Source organism: Homo sapiens, chromosome 5, assembly GCF_000001405.40.
Source record: "Homo sapiens chromosome 5, GRCh38.p14 Primary Assembly".
Classification (NCBI taxonomy): Eukaryota; Metazoa; Chordata; class Mammalia; order Primates; family Hominidae; genus Homo; species Homo sapiens.
The window spans coordinates 141,466,680-141,483,253 of record NC_000005.10 but is presented as its reverse complement, the minus strand read 5'-3'; the positions used below and the strand labels follow the sequence as shown (position 1 = coordinate 141,483,253).

The 16,574-nt window shown below is 43.9% G+C and overlaps 20 protein-coding genes, 1 pseudogene and 1 further gene across 23 annotated transcripts in view, besides 2 other annotated features; all 22 read right to left on the bottom strand.

The window, feature by feature from the left end:
- Positions 1-7,288, bottom strand: part of PCDHGC3 (protocadherin gamma subfamily C, 3) — a 37,010-nt gene extending 29,722 nt beyond the window's left edge. The window contains exon 1 of one of the 3 annotated variants that reach the window (NM_002588.4): positions 4,708-7,288. In NM_002588.4, coding sequence (NP_002579.2) covers positions 4,708-7,137 — 2,430 coding nt within the window. In that variant the 5' untranslated portion in view covers positions 7,138-7,288. Of the gene's footprint in view, positions 1-4,458 lie in introns of those variants that run through there. The other 2 variants (NM_032403.3, NM_032402.2) reach the window with 2 other exon arrangements.
- Positions 1-16,574, bottom strand: part of PCDHGA1 (protocadherin gamma subfamily A, 1) — a 182,462-nt gene that overhangs the window by 29,722 nt on the left and 136,166 nt on the right. The gene's annotated exons all lie outside the window — the stretch shown is intronic.
- PCDHG@ (protocadherin gamma cluster) overlaps positions 1-16,574 on the bottom strand; it is a 182,295-nt gene that overhangs the window by 29,726 nt on the left and 135,995 nt on the right.
- Positions 1-16,574, bottom strand: part of PCDHGA2 (protocadherin gamma subfamily A, 2) — a 174,216-nt gene that overhangs the window by 29,722 nt on the left and 127,920 nt on the right. The window lies entirely within an intron of this gene.
- Positions 1-16,574, bottom strand: part of PCDHGA3 (protocadherin gamma subfamily A, 3) — a 169,147-nt gene that overhangs the window by 29,722 nt on the left and 122,851 nt on the right. The window lies entirely within an intron of this gene.
- Positions 1-16,574, bottom strand: part of PCDHGB1 (protocadherin gamma subfamily B, 1) — a 162,877-nt gene that overhangs the window by 29,722 nt on the left and 116,581 nt on the right. The window lies entirely within an intron of this gene.
- Positions 1-16,574, bottom strand: part of PCDHGA4 (protocadherin gamma subfamily A, 4) — a 157,955-nt gene that overhangs the window by 29,722 nt on the left and 111,659 nt on the right. The gene's annotated exons all lie outside the window — the stretch shown is intronic.
- PCDHGB2 (protocadherin gamma subfamily B, 2) overlaps positions 1-16,574 on the bottom strand; it is a 152,982-nt gene that overhangs the window by 29,722 nt on the left and 106,686 nt on the right. The gene's annotated exons all lie outside the window — the stretch shown is intronic.
- Positions 1-16,574, bottom strand: part of PCDHGA5 (protocadherin gamma subfamily A, 5) — a 148,814-nt gene that overhangs the window by 29,722 nt on the left and 102,518 nt on the right. The window lies entirely within an intron of this gene.
- The window catches only part of PCDHGB3 (protocadherin gamma subfamily B, 3), a 142,734-nt gene that overhangs the window by 29,722 nt on the left and 96,438 nt on the right, over positions 1-16,574 (bottom strand). The gene's annotated exons all lie outside the window — the stretch shown is intronic.
- Positions 1-16,574, bottom strand: part of PCDHGA6 (protocadherin gamma subfamily A, 6) — a 139,085-nt gene that overhangs the window by 29,722 nt on the left and 92,789 nt on the right. The gene's annotated exons all lie outside the window — the stretch shown is intronic.
- The window catches only part of PCDHGA7 (protocadherin gamma subfamily A, 7), a 130,234-nt gene that overhangs the window by 29,722 nt on the left and 83,938 nt on the right, over positions 1-16,574 (bottom strand). The gene's annotated exons all lie outside the window — the stretch shown is intronic.
- Positions 1-16,574, bottom strand: part of PCDHGB4 (protocadherin gamma subfamily B, 4) — a 125,278-nt gene that overhangs the window by 29,722 nt on the left and 78,982 nt on the right. The gene's annotated exons all lie outside the window — the stretch shown is intronic.
- Positions 1-16,574, bottom strand: part of PCDHGA8 (protocadherin gamma subfamily A, 8) — a 120,343-nt gene that overhangs the window by 29,722 nt on the left and 74,047 nt on the right. The gene's annotated exons all lie outside the window — the stretch shown is intronic.
- The window catches only part of PCDHGB5 (protocadherin gamma subfamily B, 5), a 115,029-nt gene that overhangs the window by 29,722 nt on the left and 68,733 nt on the right, over positions 1-16,574 (bottom strand). The gene's annotated exons all lie outside the window — the stretch shown is intronic.
- Positions 1-16,574, bottom strand: part of PCDHGA9 (protocadherin gamma subfamily A, 9) — a 110,198-nt gene that overhangs the window by 29,722 nt on the left and 63,902 nt on the right. The window lies entirely within an intron of this gene.
- The window catches only part of PCDHGB6 (protocadherin gamma subfamily B, 6), a 104,955-nt gene that overhangs the window by 29,722 nt on the left and 58,659 nt on the right, over positions 1-16,574 (bottom strand). The window lies entirely within an intron of this gene.
- The window catches only part of PCDHGA10 (protocadherin gamma subfamily A, 10), a 99,989-nt gene that overhangs the window by 29,722 nt on the left and 53,693 nt on the right, over positions 1-16,574 (bottom strand). The window lies entirely within an intron of this gene.
- Positions 1-16,574, bottom strand: part of PCDHGB7 (protocadherin gamma subfamily B, 7) — a 95,299-nt gene that overhangs the window by 29,722 nt on the left and 49,003 nt on the right. The window lies entirely within an intron of this gene.
- The window catches only part of PCDHGA11 (protocadherin gamma subfamily A, 11), a 91,925-nt gene that overhangs the window by 29,722 nt on the left and 45,629 nt on the right, over positions 1-16,574 (bottom strand). The gene's annotated exons all lie outside the window — the stretch shown is intronic.
- PCDHGA12 (protocadherin gamma subfamily A, 12) overlaps positions 1-16,574 on the bottom strand; it is an 82,469-nt gene that overhangs the window by 29,722 nt on the left and 36,173 nt on the right. The window lies entirely within an intron of this gene.
- RN7SL68P (RNA, 7SL, cytoplasmic 68, pseudogene) lies at positions 3,629-3,938 on the bottom strand (annotated as a pseudogene).
- Positions 6,438-6,981: an enhancer, noted in NCBI's record as "H3K4me1 hESC enhancer chr5:140855840-140856383 (GRCh37/hg19 assembly coordinates)". NCBI's record gives its function as "activates a minimal SCP1, AML or CMV promoter by ChIP-STARR-seq in primed H9 embryonic stem cells {active_cell/tissue: H9 hESC(primed)}" and the evidence as "EXISTENCE:reporter gene assay evidence [ECO:0000049][PMID:30033119]".
- Positions 7,439-7,548: an enhancer, noted in NCBI's record as "active region_23297". NCBI's record gives its function as "activates an Ori minimal core promoter by ATAC-STARR-seq in GM12878 lymphoblastoid cells {active_cell/tissue: GM12878}" and the evidence as "EXISTENCE:reporter gene assay evidence [ECO:0000049][PMID:35858748]".

Here is a 16,574-nt window from a genome sequence, read left to right as displayed (position 1 = left end):
TCATGATATATGCATATCAGTTCAAATTTCTGCAGTGACTGTCATCTATATGGAATAAAATAAAAACTCCTTGGCTTGGCCCAAAGGTAACTCAGGATCTAACTCCTGCCTACTTGCTTCACCTCATCTCCTACAAAGACTGTCTGTTTTACACGCACACTTTTTTTTTGAGATGGAGTCTCTCTCTGTTGCCCATGCTGGAGTGCAGTGGCCTGACACCAGCTCATTGCAACCTCTGCCTCCCGGGTTCAAGCAATTCTCCTGCCTCGACCTCTCAAGTAGCTGCTCAAGTAGCTGGAATTACAGGCACCCACAACCACACCTGGCTAATTTTTTGTATTTTTAATAGAGATGAGGTTTCACCATGTTGGCCAGGCTGGTTTCAAACTCCTGACCTCAAGTGATCTGCCCACCTTGGCCTCCCAAAGTGCTAGGATTACAGGCATGAGCCACCGTACCCGGCCACACACACAGTTTAAGGTTCAGTGATAATGAAATACCATAATCCCTCTGCATGGAATTTCTTGCAATGGCCCCTCCCTGCCCTGTCCTTTCCCCTTTACTGTCTGACAAGCTACTACTCAACCTTTAGATCATAGCTCAAGCATCACCACCTCTATCATTTCTTCCTTTCTCCAGGCTCATTTAGGTGTTTTTTCCCGTTTGGTCCCACTGCATCTTATGCTATGCAGATCTCCATTATCTTTTTTTTTTTTTTTTTTTGCATGTCTGTCTCATACTGTACTCTGGGTACCAGAATGATAACTTTTAATTGTTTACAGTGTCTGGCACATAGGGATGCTAATAAATGGTGAATATCAGTATTATCATTTTTAGTTCAACAAATAGTTATTGAGTACTTGCTCCATACAGGGACTTTATATGCATTACTTTTCACTCTCACAACAAGTTTGCAAAGTAGATATTCTCTTTATTTTATAGATGAGGAAACTGGAGTTTAAAGAGATTAAAAGACTTACCTAAGCTAAACAACTAATATGTACAGTACTATACTTATATTGGCAATTTCACACCAAAACAAGTACCTGGTCTGTTTTACTAGAACTGGAGCATCGTAAAGCCTTAATCTTACATATCTTTGACTTGACCTTTTTATGCCAGCCATATGATTCTCCCATCTCTAGATATTTTTTTTTTTTTTTTGAGATGGAGTGAGTTTTGTTCTTGTTGCCCAGGCTGGAATGCAACAGCATGATCTTGGCTCACTGCAACCTCTGCTTCCTGAGATAAAGCGATTCTCCTGCTTCAACCTCCCAAGTAGCTGTGACTACAGGCACCTGCCACCACATCTGGCTGATTTTTTTTTTTTTTTTTTTTTTGAGATGGAGTTTCGCTCTTTCACCCAGGCTGGAGTGCAGTGGCGCGATCTCGGCTCACTGCAACCTCCACCATCAAGCGATTCTCCTGCCTCAGCCACCACGCCTGGTGAATTTTTGTATTTTTAGTAGAGACGGGGTTTCACCATGTTGGCCAGGCTGGTCTTGGACTCCTGACCTCGTGATCCGCCCGCCTCCGCCTCCCAAAGTGCTGGGATTACAGGCGTGAGCCACCAGGCCCGGCCTGATTTTTGTATTATTAGTAGAGATGAAGTTTCACCATGTTGGCCAGGCCGGTCTTGAACTCCTGGCCTCAGGTGATCCGCTGGCCTCAGCCTCCCTAAGTACTGGGATTACAGGCGTGAGCCACTGAGCCCAGCCCCATCTCTAGATTTTTACTGAGACATAATTCACATACCATGCAAATCACATATTTAAAGTGTATAATCCAATGGTTTTCAGTGTATTTACATGTACTAAACTGATACAATCATCATCACAATCTAATTATACAAGAATTTTGTCACATCCCTCCAAAAAGAACCCAATATCTATTGAACAGCTGTAGATGTTTAAATAATAGTTGTCCAGGGGCTAGTGCTTTAGGAAGGTTTTTCCCTTAGATGACTGAAATACCATTTTATGTCTTCCTACAGTGATCTTTTAGAGCTATGCTATGTAATACTTTAAGGCTGGGAGACCTTACCATGTTTTTTAAAAAAATTGGGCCTGGCCCAATAAAGCTGGATTCTGGTTCTGCAAATACCAGAATAACACTTTACTTCACAAATATGCTAAATGATGGATTGGTAGGTTCCAGAGTACTGCTTTTCTTTTTTCTTTCTTTCTTTTTGTTTTTGAGGTGGAGTCTCGCTCTGTCGCCCAGGCTGGAGTGCAGTGGTGTGATCTGGGCTCACTGAAACTTCCACATCCTGGGTTCACTGATTCTCCCTCACTGATGCTTCCGCCTCAGCCTCTAGAGTAGCTGGGACTACAGGTATGCGCCACCATGCCCAGCTAATGTTTGCATTTTTAGTAGAGACGGGGTTTCACCATATTGGCCAGGCTGGTCTCAAACTCCTGATCTTATGATCCACCCACCTCAGCCTCCCAAAGCTGTGGTTTTCAAATTTGTCTGCACATTAGGATCAAGTGGGGACCTTCAAAAAATGATGCCTATGTCCCACCCCCAGAGACTGTGCTTTCATTTGTCGGGGTGTGGCCTGGGTTTCAGAATTTTTAAAAGGTCTCTAGGTGATTTTAATGTGCAACCAAGTTTGAAAACATTGTTCTAGGGAAAATGCCAGTTGCTTTCCAGGCTGACCAGAAGAGCGGCAGTTATTTCTTGCTGGCTTTCATGCTTTCTTAGCCTTTTCATATGTGCTTCTACTTTGTCATTTTTGGTTGTTCTCATATGTGTATTTCTAAGGTGTGTTTGAGATTTTAGGTGAGTGAGGAACTAATAAAAATAATTATAGTAATAGCTGATAATTTTTTTTTTTGAGACAGGGTCTCACTCTATTGCCATGGTTGAAGTGTAGTGGTGCAATCACAGCTGACTGTAGCTTCAACCTCCCAGGCTCAAGCAATTCTCCCACTTCAGCCTCCCAAGTAGCTGGTACCACAGGTGCATGCCAACACACCCAGCTAATGAAAACACATTTTTTTTTTTTTTTGTAGAGACAGGATCTCACTATGTCGCTCAGGCTGGTCTTGAACTGCTGGCCTCAAGCAATCCGCCTGCCTCAGCCTCCCAAAATGCTAGGAGCTGGCTAATAATTGTTTAACAGTTATGATATGCCAGGCACCATGCTAAACACTTTGCATACATTATATCATGCATGAATCTTATAAAACACTTATTATTCCCTTTTTGCATATGAGGAAGAGGCTTAGAAAGGAGATTGAGTAACTTGGCCACAGACTCCTAGTTGGTAAATGGTAGAACCTCATTTGACTAACTGCCAAATCCAAGAGTTGATAGCAATGATGCACTGAGTAACAAAATAACAGTGTTTCTCCTACAGTTGAGAGTATGTATAGGGTTCTCTCCAGGGCAAAGGCCTTGCAGTCACCTTGCATGGATACCATGCCTTGGATAGTATCCTTGCATACCACCCTGAATTAATGAATGCTTTACCTGTCTAAGGATATGAATTTATCTACCTTTCACATTGTGCATATACTTAAGAAAAATAAGGCTGGAAGGACAGGGACTAACACTGGAGGCACCAAAAAGACTCTCCTTTTGTAGTTTCTGGGATTGTTGTTGTTGTTGTTGTTATTGTTAAAGAGACATGGTTTCCCTATATTGCCTAGGCTGGAGTGCAGTGGCTATTCACAGATGTCATCCCACTACTGGATAGCACAGCAGTTTTGACCTTCTCCACTTCCAACCTGGGCCAGTTCACCCCTCTTTAGGCAACCTGATGGTCCTGCCCTCCCAAGAGGTCACTGTATTCATGCTGAACTTAGTGCAGACAGTGGATTGATCAATTGATCAGCATAGTGCACCACAGCCCAGAACTCCTGGGCTCAAGCAATCCTCCCACCTCAGGCACTGAGCAGCAAGAACTACAGGTGCACACCACTGAGTCTGGCTACTTTATGTTTTCTTGGGTTGCCTAGATTTATTTTTGAAATAAATTATTACTTTTATAATTAAAAATGGTTATCTTTGGGTTTGGAGATTATAGTTTTAATTTTTTAAATACTTTTCTGTATTTTCTGAATTTTCTAGCAAACATGCATTACTGTTATAAGGTAAAAATATTTTGTAAGCAGGGTGCACATCATTTCCAGTAGAATGCTTGAAATAAAATTTAAAGGATGCCTGGAATTTCATTTCATTCATAAAAAATTATCTGAGAATGAGGTACACGATCTGTATAAACAAAGGAAAATTATCAAAAAGCTATTAGTTTTAATACAAATGTCACAATCACTTGAAAGGTGGAGGAATGAGGTAGTTTTTGTATTCCTAGAAGCTGCCACTGGTTAGAGGTATCCAGCAGCTTATTCCTAATGTAAATGATACCAAGCTAAACTCTGATCGCTGAGATCTTGTGTTTTAGCTTAACCATCCCTTAGCAAGATTGGTTAGTTGTGATAGCAAAAGAGTGCTGAGGATGTGAATTAGGTCCACAGATGAGTCAAGTATCTTCCCCCTGAAATGGGACCACAAACCACACTCTGGCAGGCCACCATCTCACAAAGGCACTAACTTTGATCTAGGAAGGGCCAGTTGAAAGTGTGAATGCATCACCAGGAAAACATCTTCATCACTAAAAAAACAGCTCCATTCCTTCCTCAATATGATGTAGGAATAAAAAAGCACTAACAGGGTCAAGCATGACTTGCTAAACCTTACCTGTCCGGGAGGGGCGCTCTCTGCACCCAACACCTGCCTATAGAACACCGGATCACAGCTCCGCAGCGTGTTCTGGCGGCTGGCCAGTGGACTGGCTGCACCAGGTTTCTTCAGCAGCGGGTCGCTGCGGCGGGAGTCCGTGGTGAGATACACCTGATGGTAAAGGTGCGGCGACATCAGGCCTCCCCGCACGGCGTCCGCGTGCAAGGAGGGCCCTGGTGTTCGGTACAGTGAGCTCACCGGGGCTCGGTATAGGTCTCTAGACTGCTTCCACTTGTAAACTTTGAATATGATTACTCCGAACACTGTGACCACAAACCCCACAGAAACCAGGATTAGAGAAAGAAGTAGATAAAAGGTGAGATTTTTTTTCTGCTCCCGGGGGGCAGAGCCAGAGGGGAACTCGGCTCGGGCTTCAGGAGAGTCCTCGGTTACTGACACAGTGAGGGTAGCAGTGGTGGAGAGCGAAGGCTCCCCATTGTCTTTGATCAAGACCGTGAGAGTCTGCCTGGGTGAATCTGTGTCTTGGACTGGACGGGCAGTACTGATTTGACCAGTGTGCAGCCCTATGGCAAAAAGGCTCTGGTTAGGGGATCCCAAGAGACTGTAGGAGAGCCAGGCATTGTGCCCTGCATCCGCGTCCCAGCCTACCACCCGTGACACTAGGTGGCCAGCTGAGGTACCTCGAGGCAGCATCTCCACCGAGCTCCCACCTGGCCGAGGATATAGGACCTGGGGGGCATTGTCATTGCGATCAGTGACAAATATGTTCACGCTGATGTTGGTGGCTAGGACCGGGGTGCCCCCATCGCTGATATGAGCTGTTAATTCAAATTCCCGCCGATCCTCATAGTCTAGGGGCACTAAGGATGACACTATGCCATTGTCACGATTTATTGTGAAATAGCGACCCACTAGCCCGGTTTCAGCTCCTTGCTCCAAGAGAAAGAAAGAAAGCCGAGCATTCTGCGGGGCGTCGGGGTCCCAGACACTTAGGTTTAGTATTGGAGCCCCGGGGAGGTTGTTTTCTTCAATGTAAACGTCGTAGGAAGATTGAGAAGATTGTGGAGGGTTGTCATTGATGTCGGACACTTGAACACGCACTATTGTAAGGGCTGAGAGGGAAGGGGTTCCGGCGTCTCGGGCGGTGATGCTGAGGTTGTATTCTGGCACAGTCTCCCGATCCAGGTCTGCACTGGTTTTCAAAGTGAAGTAATTCTTGAGGGAAGAAGTAAGGCTGAAAGGGAGACCCGGTGGAACTTCGCAGGTCACCAGCCCGTTCTCGCCAGCATCCAGGTCAGTCACACTGAGCAAAGCGATGACAGTCCCCAGAGGGGCATCCTCGGGTACTGGGCTGTACACGGAGGTGACTGTGATCTCCGGGGCGTTGTCATTCACATCCACAACCTCCACCAACACTTTGCAATGTGCTCCTTCGGGATTGGCGCCCTTGTCTTTGGCCTGGATGTAAATCTCATGGAGTTTGGTGTCCTCGAAGTCCAGCCGACCCTTGATTGTCAGCATCCCGGTTACAAGGTCTAAGGCGAATAGTTGCCGCACGCCGGCGCGGTTGTGGCTGCCGAAGGAGTAAATAATTTCACCGTTGGGGCCTTCATCCAGATCCGTTGCAAGGACTTGTACCACGCGCGTGCCGGAGGGTGCATCCTCCAGGACGCGCGCCCGGTACAAGGACTGGTTGAAGACAGGCGCATTGTCATTCGCGTCCAGCACCTTGATGTGAATAGGCAGGCTGGCGGAGAGAGCTGGGGTCCCTCCGTCCAACGCCGTCAGCACTAACTGGAGACTAGGCTCCCGTTCTCGGTCCAGGGCGCGCTCCAACACCAGCTCCGCGTACTTGGTGCTGTCCTCCCGCGTCTGCACGCGAAGCGCAAAGTATTCATTTCGGCTCAGCTCATAGGTTTGTAAAGAGTTGCTTCCCACATCGGGATCGTGCGCGCTCTCGAGCGGAAAGCGCGTCCCCGGAGCCACGGCCTCGCTAATCTCCAATTTCATTTCCTGGGTAGGGAAAGCAGGATTGTTGTCGTTGATGTCCTGGATCACCACTTCCACGCTGAACAGCTCCAGCGGGTTCTCCACTACCAACTCCAGAGTTACAGTGCAAGAGGGCAGTGTCCCACACAGCTCCTCTCGATCCAGACGGTCGTTCACAAACATCTCTCCGGTCTCCCGGTTCACCTCAAAGAATCTTCGGCTAGCTCCAGACACCACCCGGAACCTGCGGGCTGAGAGGCTACCGAGATCCAAACCAAGGTTCGCGACCACGTTGCCCACAGCGAAACCCTTCTCTCTTTCCTCCGGGATCTCATAGTGAATGACCGTGGAAGCCTTGTTCAAGGCACCAAGCAGAAGCAAAACTCCCACTACCCTCCCGGTGCTTACCAGTCCGCTCCTCCAGGCCTCTGGGACCATCTCACTCAAAAGCAGTTCCTCTCAGCGGGGTCCAGATCGTCCCTGAGATTTCGCTGAGAAACTTTCAGCGGGTTAGCGCTTGGGCGCTGGGCGCCGAGTCCGACATGGCTTTCTGGATGCCGTTGATTTGCTCGCCGGCTGTTCAGTCTCTGCCTCATCCCGGGGCGCAGAAAGGGGACGGGCAGGGGCCCGATCTCCAGCGTCTTCATTGGCCGACAGCGGCACACAGAGTCCCAGCCAATAACTGCACGAAGAATGAGCTAGCGCCGGGCTCTCTGAGCAGGACACGCGCTAGCGCCAGGAACTTCACTTTCCTTTGGCTTCCTTCCAGAGTTTCCAGCCAAAGCGCCTTGCCAGTATCGGTGCATAGGAAACCTACCTTAGGGAAAGCCAGCCTTGGGGCTGTGAGGCTAGCCGTTCTGCAAGTCTCCAATCCAAATCAAGACTCATTAAACATTTGAATCACTTTCTTTGATCACAAGAAAGGGGATCGAACCAAACCGAAAACTACACAACATTGTCTGGAAAAACACCAACAAATCTGGCTTGTTGGAAGACAGACAATTAGCCGGACCCTACTTGTAAGGAGGCATTTAGCATTTCCGTGGAGACATTAATAATTTCAGTTTTATCTCTTACCAAATGAAATTAGCATTCCCTGTCACTTCCTCATTATCTGGAGCTACTATCAAATTAGCAGGAGTTACAATCTATTGGTTTAACTCTGGCTTATAAAATTTAAAAGTACAATTCAGATTTTATTTCTTTTAAAACTGGATGTCATTGTTAGCTCTCATTTCTTAAGAACCAGGGAGCAATAAGAAATTTCCCTACCCTGTCTTTCACAAGGAGCATGATCTCAGTTGTAGAGCACACTCTCTCTATCGTTTCCCTTTACTTGATCAATCCTTTTCCCAAGATCTTGGGTACCATATGCCACAAGAAGTTGCACTGCTAATGAAGAAGAAGACGGAGAAGATTTCAAAAAGAAAAAAAGCCAGGCCTATTTACCACCTAGGATCTTTATAAAATTATTGAAATAATGGCAGCAAAGCTCCACAAATCTTTAGAAAATACAAAGCCTTTAGTCACAGAATAAAGAGCCTTAACTTTTCTGCATTTAGAATTGTTGTCACCAAACAAAATTATAATGATTAGGATAGTGAATAAAAGAGTCCACTGTGATATAAGCCAGAGATGAGATGTATATCCTTGAACAAGAAATGAACCTCTAAGAGTTCCTGCTCCTATCCTATTAAATGAAGAAGGCAGGTAAAGTGCCTGGCACAGAGTAAGCCTCAATTAATGATGCAAACCACTCCATTAGATGTAAAGTGTTAGAGCCTCATACTATTTCTGTATATTTGTCTTGGACATCACTTTGATTGCATAGAGTCCTTTTGAAGTATAATAGAACCTTGAACATAAGTGAAGGGGTAGGCACATAGGTTAGGTAGGTAGAAAAGAAGTAAGGATATATAGGATATTTCCGGAAGAGATGAAAAGCCATATGTGACCTATATTTCCATGTCTTTAACACTTCAATTAATCTCTGAAAACCCCCAGTTTTAAATGCTCAAGTTTGATAATTAGCCAGACCAGCAAGAGGGCTGATAGGCATTAGAAGATAGAATACATTTAGAATTTAGAATAAAGAGTATAGCCCAATCACTTGCTACTCAAAGTGTGAGGACCAATGGTCTAGGCATCACCGGGGAGCTTGTTAGAAATGCAGAAATGCCCTCCTCTAGACCTACTGAGACATGACTTACATTTTAACAAAACATCAGGGTGATTTGAAAACACATTAAAGTTTGACAAGCACTGATCTAGTGGGTTATTCAGAGATACACTGGTTTATCAGTCTTTTTTTCCCCTATTCAGCATCACTTAATTCACAATCTGGTTTTTGAAAATCAGCTTTTAAAAATGTAAGTAGTTTTCTCAATAATAAGGCCTGTCATTTTCTTGATAATAAGGCCTGTAGTTTTCTGAGATTTTCGTTGTTGTTGTTTTTGTTGTTGTTTGTTTTTTGGTTTTTGTTTCTGAGGCAGGATCTCGCTCTGTCATCCAGGCTGGAGTACAGTGGAATAATCATAGCTCACTGTAACTTCCAGCTCCTTGGGCTCAAGGGATCCTCCCGCCTCAGACTTCTAAGTAGATGGGACTACAGGCCTGAGCTACTGCACCCAGCTCATAGTTTTCTTAAGACCTCTTCATGAACCAACAGAACCCTTGTGTATGCATTCTCCACAATAGCGAGGTTCATCTTCCTAAAATTTTAATTGGATCACACAATTGTCCAGCTGCTCCTCAGTAGCATCATACTGCTCTTGAATTAAAATACCAAATCCTTTGCATAGTATCCAAGTTCTCATGTCTTCTCCCTCTCTCACTATATTCCATTGCACCACTTGGAGGGTGGTCAGAACCCCAGCCCTTCCCTGTCTCAGGGCCTTCACACAAATTGTTCCTTTGCCAGGAAAGCTGCTTTTTCCTCCCTCCCTTTGCTTTGCTAATTTCTACAGGTCTGTCTGGTCTTAGTTTAAATGTTATTTCCTAATAGAGGTCTTCCATTAGGCCCCAGTTAAAACCAGGATCCTTTGTTATGCTCTCTCAGAACACCTTATATTTTTTCCATTGAACTTGGCACAACTTTAAATTTTATAATTATTTTTGCATAAGCAAAGTATCTGCTTCCCCCACTGAAGAAGAAAAAAAGAAGCTCCAGGAGGGCAGGGACCATGCTATTTTGGTGGCCACTTGCATCCTCACTGTCTAGCACAGCAGGCACTTAATGCTTATTAATATAGCAATCTTTATGCTACTGACATAGTAAAATAATCATAGCATACACTAAGGACTATATATGTATTCACTTGTGTGGATCCAATCTCCCTGGAAGTAAGCATTTTTTAGAAGATACATTTACTCCTTCAAGTTACCAGTGGGCCTTCCTAGCCCTAGTGATCTGAAGAGATAATATAGTTTGCCAAAGAGCCAAGTAAAGTGTGGTAATACAACTCACAGTGGATAATAAACAAAGATGCTGTAACTTGTTGTATCACTTCTTTCTTTCTTTCCTTCCTTCCTTCCTTCTTTCTTTTTCTTTTTCTTTCTTTTTTTTTTTTTTTTTGAGTTTCACTCTTGTTCCCCAGGCTGGAGTGCAATGGCATAATCTTGGCTCACCACAACCTCCTCCTCTTGGGTTCAAGCAATTCTCCTGCCTCAGCCTCCCGAGTAGCTGGGAATACAGGCATGTGCCACCATGCCCAGCTAATTTTCTATTTTTAGTAGAGACGGGGGTTTCTCCATGTTGGTCAGGCTGATCTTGAACTCCCAACCTCAGGTGATCTGCCAGCCTCCGCCTCCCAAAGTGCTGGGATTACAGGTGTGAGCCACAGCGCCTGGCCTGTATCACTTATTTCTAGGGGAAATGGAAGGACCAGTATACAGGATTTATATACTGATTCAACACAATTTCCCAGTCTTTATCTTTTTTCTTCTTTGTTTTATAATTTCAAGAGAGCTTCTGACCAATGAGATGCAGCATTTATAATATAATTTTTTTTTTCTTGAGATGGTGTCTCACTCTGTCACCCAGGCTGGAGTGCAGTGGCACGATCTCGTCTCACTGCAAGCTCTGCCTTCTGGGTTCAAGCGATTCTCCTGCCTCAGCCTCCCTAGTAGCTGGGATACAGGTGCGTGCCACCACGCCTGGCTAATTTTTTCTATTTTTAGTGGAGACGGGGTTTCACCGTGTTAGCCAGGATGGTCTCGATCTCCCAACCTCGTGATCTGCCTGCCTCGGCTTCCCAAAGTGCTGGGATTACAGGTGTGAGCCACTGTGCCCGGCTATAATATAACTTTAAAATAGAAAGTGAATGTATTATATGATCGAGAGTAAGGTCTTAGTGTCAAAAAGATTCAAATTCCAATACTGGATATTACACCTAGTAGCTATGTAACCATGAAACTTTTATTTTTAACTTCTCTTTTATTTTCTTTATGTATAAAATGGGAATAATAATAGTACTCATTGATATAACCACAGACATGTCAATCATTTTTAAAATCTTTTCACAGCTTTCTACATACAATATAGTGCCCCTATACGATGCAGGGATTTTTAATAAATTTATACAGTAATGCAACCAACCCCACAATCCAGTTTTAGAAAACTCTCATCACCCCCAAAATTTCCCTCATGCTTGTCTGTAGTCAATCTTCCTAGCTTCAGCCTCAGGCAACCACAGTTTTGCTTTTTCTGAATATTTTATTAAAAAGGAATTATAAAATAGGTAGTCTTTTATATGTCTTTTATATGACATAGCATAATGTCAAACTCATCTTTTGACCACACCCTCAAATATGTTATGTCTCCAACCTTCCTTACCTGGTAAGTGGCACTTCTATTCCAGCCAGAATTTCAGAAGTAATTTTTAATATTTTTTTCTGCATCCCCACATCCAGTATATTACTAATCCATACCAATGCTTACTACTCCCAAAATATATTTTGAAACTATCAATTACTTACCCTATCTACTGCTACCCCTGAGTCAAAGCAACCTTAAATGCTATCATAGCTTCCTCGCTGTTATTTTTACTCCCTCTCTTGCATTCCCTAAATTCCATTTCACATGCAGAGACCTGAGTAATCTTTCAAAAGGTACATGAGATTATACACTTTCCTTGCTAAAAACATAACTAAGCCTAGCTACGTAACTTGTAGGGTCAGTGCAAAATAAAAATAGGGGGCTTGGAGGCCGGGCGCAGTGGATCATACCTGTAATCCCAGCACTTTGGGAGGCCGAGTTGGGTGGATCACTTGAGGTCAGGAGTTTGAGACCAGCCTTGCCAACATGGTGAAACCCCATCTCTACTAAAAATACAAAAAAATTGCCAGGCATGGGGGTGGGTGCCTGTAATTCCAGCTACTAGGGAGGCTGAGCCAGGAGAATCACTTGAACCCAGGAGGCAGAGGTTGCAGTGAAGGTAAGATCGCACCACTGCACTCTAGCCTGGACAACAGAGGGAGACCCTGTCTCAAAAAAAAAAAAAAAAAAAAGAGGGCTTGGGCTTGTTAATAAAAATGATTGACCAGGCACAGTGGCTCATGCCTGTAGTCCCAGCACTTTGGGAGGCTGAGGTGGGAGGATCACTTGAGGCCAGGAATTTGAGACCAGCCTGAGCAACATAGGGACAGTCCCATCTCTACAAAAAACAAAAACAAAAACAAAAAAACAAACAAACAAAAAACTTATCTGAGCATGGTGGCGTGTGTTTGTCGTCCTAACTACTCAGAAGGCTGAAGTGGGAGGATTGCTTGAGCCCAGGAATTCAAGACTGTAGTGAGTCCACTGCACTCCAGCCAGGGCGACAGAGCAAGACCCTGACTCAAAAAAATAAAATAAAAATTATTAAGAATTTCAAGATGGTAACAGCAGAGCCCTAACCAAAGGGTAGGGGCCTTCAAAGCAAGGGGGCCTATCTAAGCATGAAGCCCTGTGTCCCCGCACAGGTCGCCTGCCTATGAAGTTGATCCTGCTTGGCACAGAGGAAACTCTCAATAAATATTACCTGATACATATTTTAATATTAGCTAACTGTCTAATTACCTAATATTATTCCCAGAGGGTTAGTAATATCAGAAAATCCTATTCAAGATGCTATTAAATTATTGCACACAAGGAAAAAATACATAAAATCCTCTTAAAATCCTAAATATCATCGAGTAGTCTTTCCATTCAACCTAATGTGTCTATTTGAACAGCTTCCTAAGGTCAAATTATGGGATCATTTGAGGAAAAATGGAATAAAAACAGTTAACCAATAAATCAAACAAACATGTATCTCCATTTAGACAGGTGGGACATTCAAGGGTTTGGTGAAGAAGCTGAATGGTTTAGCCTTCATATTTATCTGAAGTTTACTTGAATATTTTGCATACTTTGATTTGATAAGATGATCTATGATCTTTTTTTTTGAGACGAAGTCTTGCTCTGTTGCTCAGACTGGAATGTAGTGGCATGATCTCAGATCACTACAGTCTCTGCCTCCGGGGTTCAAACAGTTCTCGCGCCTCAGCATCCCGAGTAGCTGGGATTACAGGCGTGCCACGACGACCAGCTAATTTTTGTATTTTTGGTACAGATGGGGTTTCACCATGCTGGCCAGGCTGGTCTCAAACTCCTGACCTCGGGTGGTCTGCCTGCCTCGGCTTCCCAAAGTGCCGAGATTACAGGCGTGAGCCATTGCACCCGGTCTGAATCTTAAGAATAAGTTTTATGTGACCTCCATTCTATCTACAATGTTTTTGCAATTACAAATAACGCTGTAATAAATAAGCTGGTATATATGTATTTTTGTAATTTTTGAGGTGTGTATTTATGATAAATTCCTAATAGTGTGATTACTAGGTCATAGGACCAATGCATATGTAGTTTTATTAGAACAAGAAGAAATTATGTCATCAAAATATTTTGGAACTACAAACATTTATTTTATTTTACTTATTTTGTTTTATTTATTTATTTATTTAGAGACAGAGTCTCACTCTGTCGCCAGGCTGGAGTGCAGTGGCACAATCTTGGCTCACTGCAACCTCCACCTCCCGGGTTCAAGCGATTCTCCTGCCTCAGCCTCCCGAGTAGCTGAGACTACAGGTGTGCACCACCACGCCCAGCTAAGTTTTATATTTTTAGTAGAAACGGGGTTTCACCATGTTGGCCAGGATGGTCTCGATCTCTTTACCTCATGATCCATCCACCTCAGCCTCCCAAAGTGGTGGGATTACAGGCGTGAGCCATCGTGCCCAGTCTATTTTGTTTTATTTTTTGAGATGGGGTCTTGCTCTGTTGCCCAAGCTGGAGTGCAGTGGGGTGATCATGGCTCACTGAAGCCTCAACTTCAAAAGGCTCAAGCAATCCTCTTGCCTCAGCCTCCCAAGTAGCTGGGACTACAGACATGTGCCACCATTTCTGGCTAATTTTTAAATTTTTTTAGAGACAGGTTCTTGCTTTGTTGCCTAGAATGGTCTCAAACTCCTAGGCTCAAGCAATCCTCCCACCTTGGCCTCCCAAAGTGCTGGGATTACAGGAGTGACCCACCGCACCCAGCAAAAACAATAATTTTGGAAGTCAAAAGCCTAAGGTAAAAAAAACCACAGGTTTACCCCATCTCCCATTTTAGTGCTATTCTCTTCTAGTCTGGATCATATTAGTACCTTATTATTATTATTATTATTTTTGAGATGGAGTCTCGCTCTGTTGCCCAGGCTGGAGTGCAGTGGCTTGATCTTGGCTCACTGCAAGTTCCGCCTCCCGGGTTCACGCCATTCTCCTGCCTCAGCCTCCCGAGTAGCTGGGACTACAGGCACCCGCCACCACGCCCAGCTAACTTTTTATATTTTTAGTAGAGACGGGGTTTCACCGTGTTAGCCAGGATGGTCTTGATCTCCTGACCTTGTGATCCGCCCACCTCGGCCTCCCAAAGTGCTGGGATTACAGGCGTGAGCCACCGCGCCCAGCCTTTAGTACCTTCTTATTGTTTACTATATCACAAATGTTAAATATGTCAGGAAACTACCTGCAAAAAATTTACTAAATTTGTCCACATGAAAATCTTCCATGAGACCTACATTCTCCTCAGAAATAACTTGCTTTAATTTTGCACCCACATTTTGCTATTACCTTGCTATCTAACTTATTATTAGTTCTCACCAAATGGGTAGCCTTGTATGGCTGAGTTATTTCTTTTTTCTTTCTTTTTTTTTTTTTTTTTTTGAGATGGAGTTTACCGTTGCTCTTGTTGCCCAGGCTGGGGTGCAATGGCGTGGTCTCGGCTCACCACAACCTCTGCCTCCCAGGTTCAGGCAATTCTCCTACCTCATCCTCCCAAGTAGCTGGAATTACAGGCACCCGCCACCATGCCCAGCAAATTTTTCTATTTTTAGCAGAGACAGGGTTTCACCATGTTGGCCAGGCTGGTCTCAAACTCCTAACCTCAGGTGATCTGCCTGCCTCAACCTCCCAAAGTGCTGGGATTACAGGTGTGAGCCACTGTGCCCGGCTTAGTTTTCTAAATGAAGTATTTTACTTCAACATATAACAGAGGAAGAAAGAATTGTGGTTTTCTGATCATTAAAATTTTCTGGCAGCCGGGTGTGGTGGCTCATGCTTGTAATCCTAGCATTTTGGGAGGCTGAGGTGGGCGGATTTCTTGAGCTCAGGAGTTTGAGACCAGCCTGGGCAACATGGTGAAATCTCATTCTACAAAAAAATATAAAAATCAGCCTGGTGTGGTGGCATGTGCCTGTAGTCCCAGCTACTTGAGAGGCTGAGGTGCGGGCACTTGAGCATGTGAGGCGGAGGTTGCAGCGAGCTGGGATTGTGCCACTACACTCCAGCCTGGGCAACAGAGCCAGACCCTGTCTAAAAAAAATAAAAATCTTCTGGCACTATAGAAGTTTGGTACATGATAAAGATGCTATCTCAAATCACTGGGACAAAGATGAAGTGCTTAATAAATGGCATTGGGACAACTGGATAGCCATTTGGGAAAAAAGATATAATCAGATCCATATCTCAGCACACAAAAGAATAAACTCCAATTAGATCAGGGATCTAAATGTGGAAACCAAAAACCATGCAAGTACTAGCACTGGAAGAAAAAAGTAATGAATGTTTCTATAACCTAGGTGTGGGGAAAGGCTTTCTAACTATGACTTAAAACCTAAATGCAATATAAGAAAACGTTGATTTGGCCGGGGGCAGTGGCTTACGTCTCTAATCCCAGCACTGTGGGAGGCCGAGGTGAGTGGATCACTTGAGGTCAAGAGTTCGAGACCAGCCTGGCCAACATGGTGAAACCCCATCTCTACTAAAAATACAAAAATTAGCCAGGCATGGTGGCATGTGCCTGTAATCCCAGCTACTTGGGAGGCTGAGAGATGAGAATCACTTGAACCTGGGAGGCAGAGGTTGCAGTGAGCTGAGATTGCACCATTGTACTCCAGCCTGTGTGACAGAGTGAGACTTGGTCTAAAAAAAAAAAAAAAAGAAAACATTGATTCATTACACAAAAAACAAAAACAAAGGGAAAAAAATTGCATTGCAAAAAAATGCCAAAAGGTAAATGATGAGCTGTGAGAAAATATTTGCAGTCTGTTTACTGGACAAAGGACTAATATTCCTAATACAAGGAGTTTTCAAAAACTTCATGGAAAATGCATATTATGAAAAAAATGTGTGGATTTCAAAATATTTCTTGCACCAAAATAAACCCATACTAACTTGTTATACCATGTCTGAATAGGATCTAGTTTGAGGCACTAAGAAGAATAAGATAACAGTTTGAAAAGAGCCCCTATCAGAGTAACATGAATTCTGCTAAAATGGAAACAAGAACAGACATCAAATTTATGATGAAGCTTGA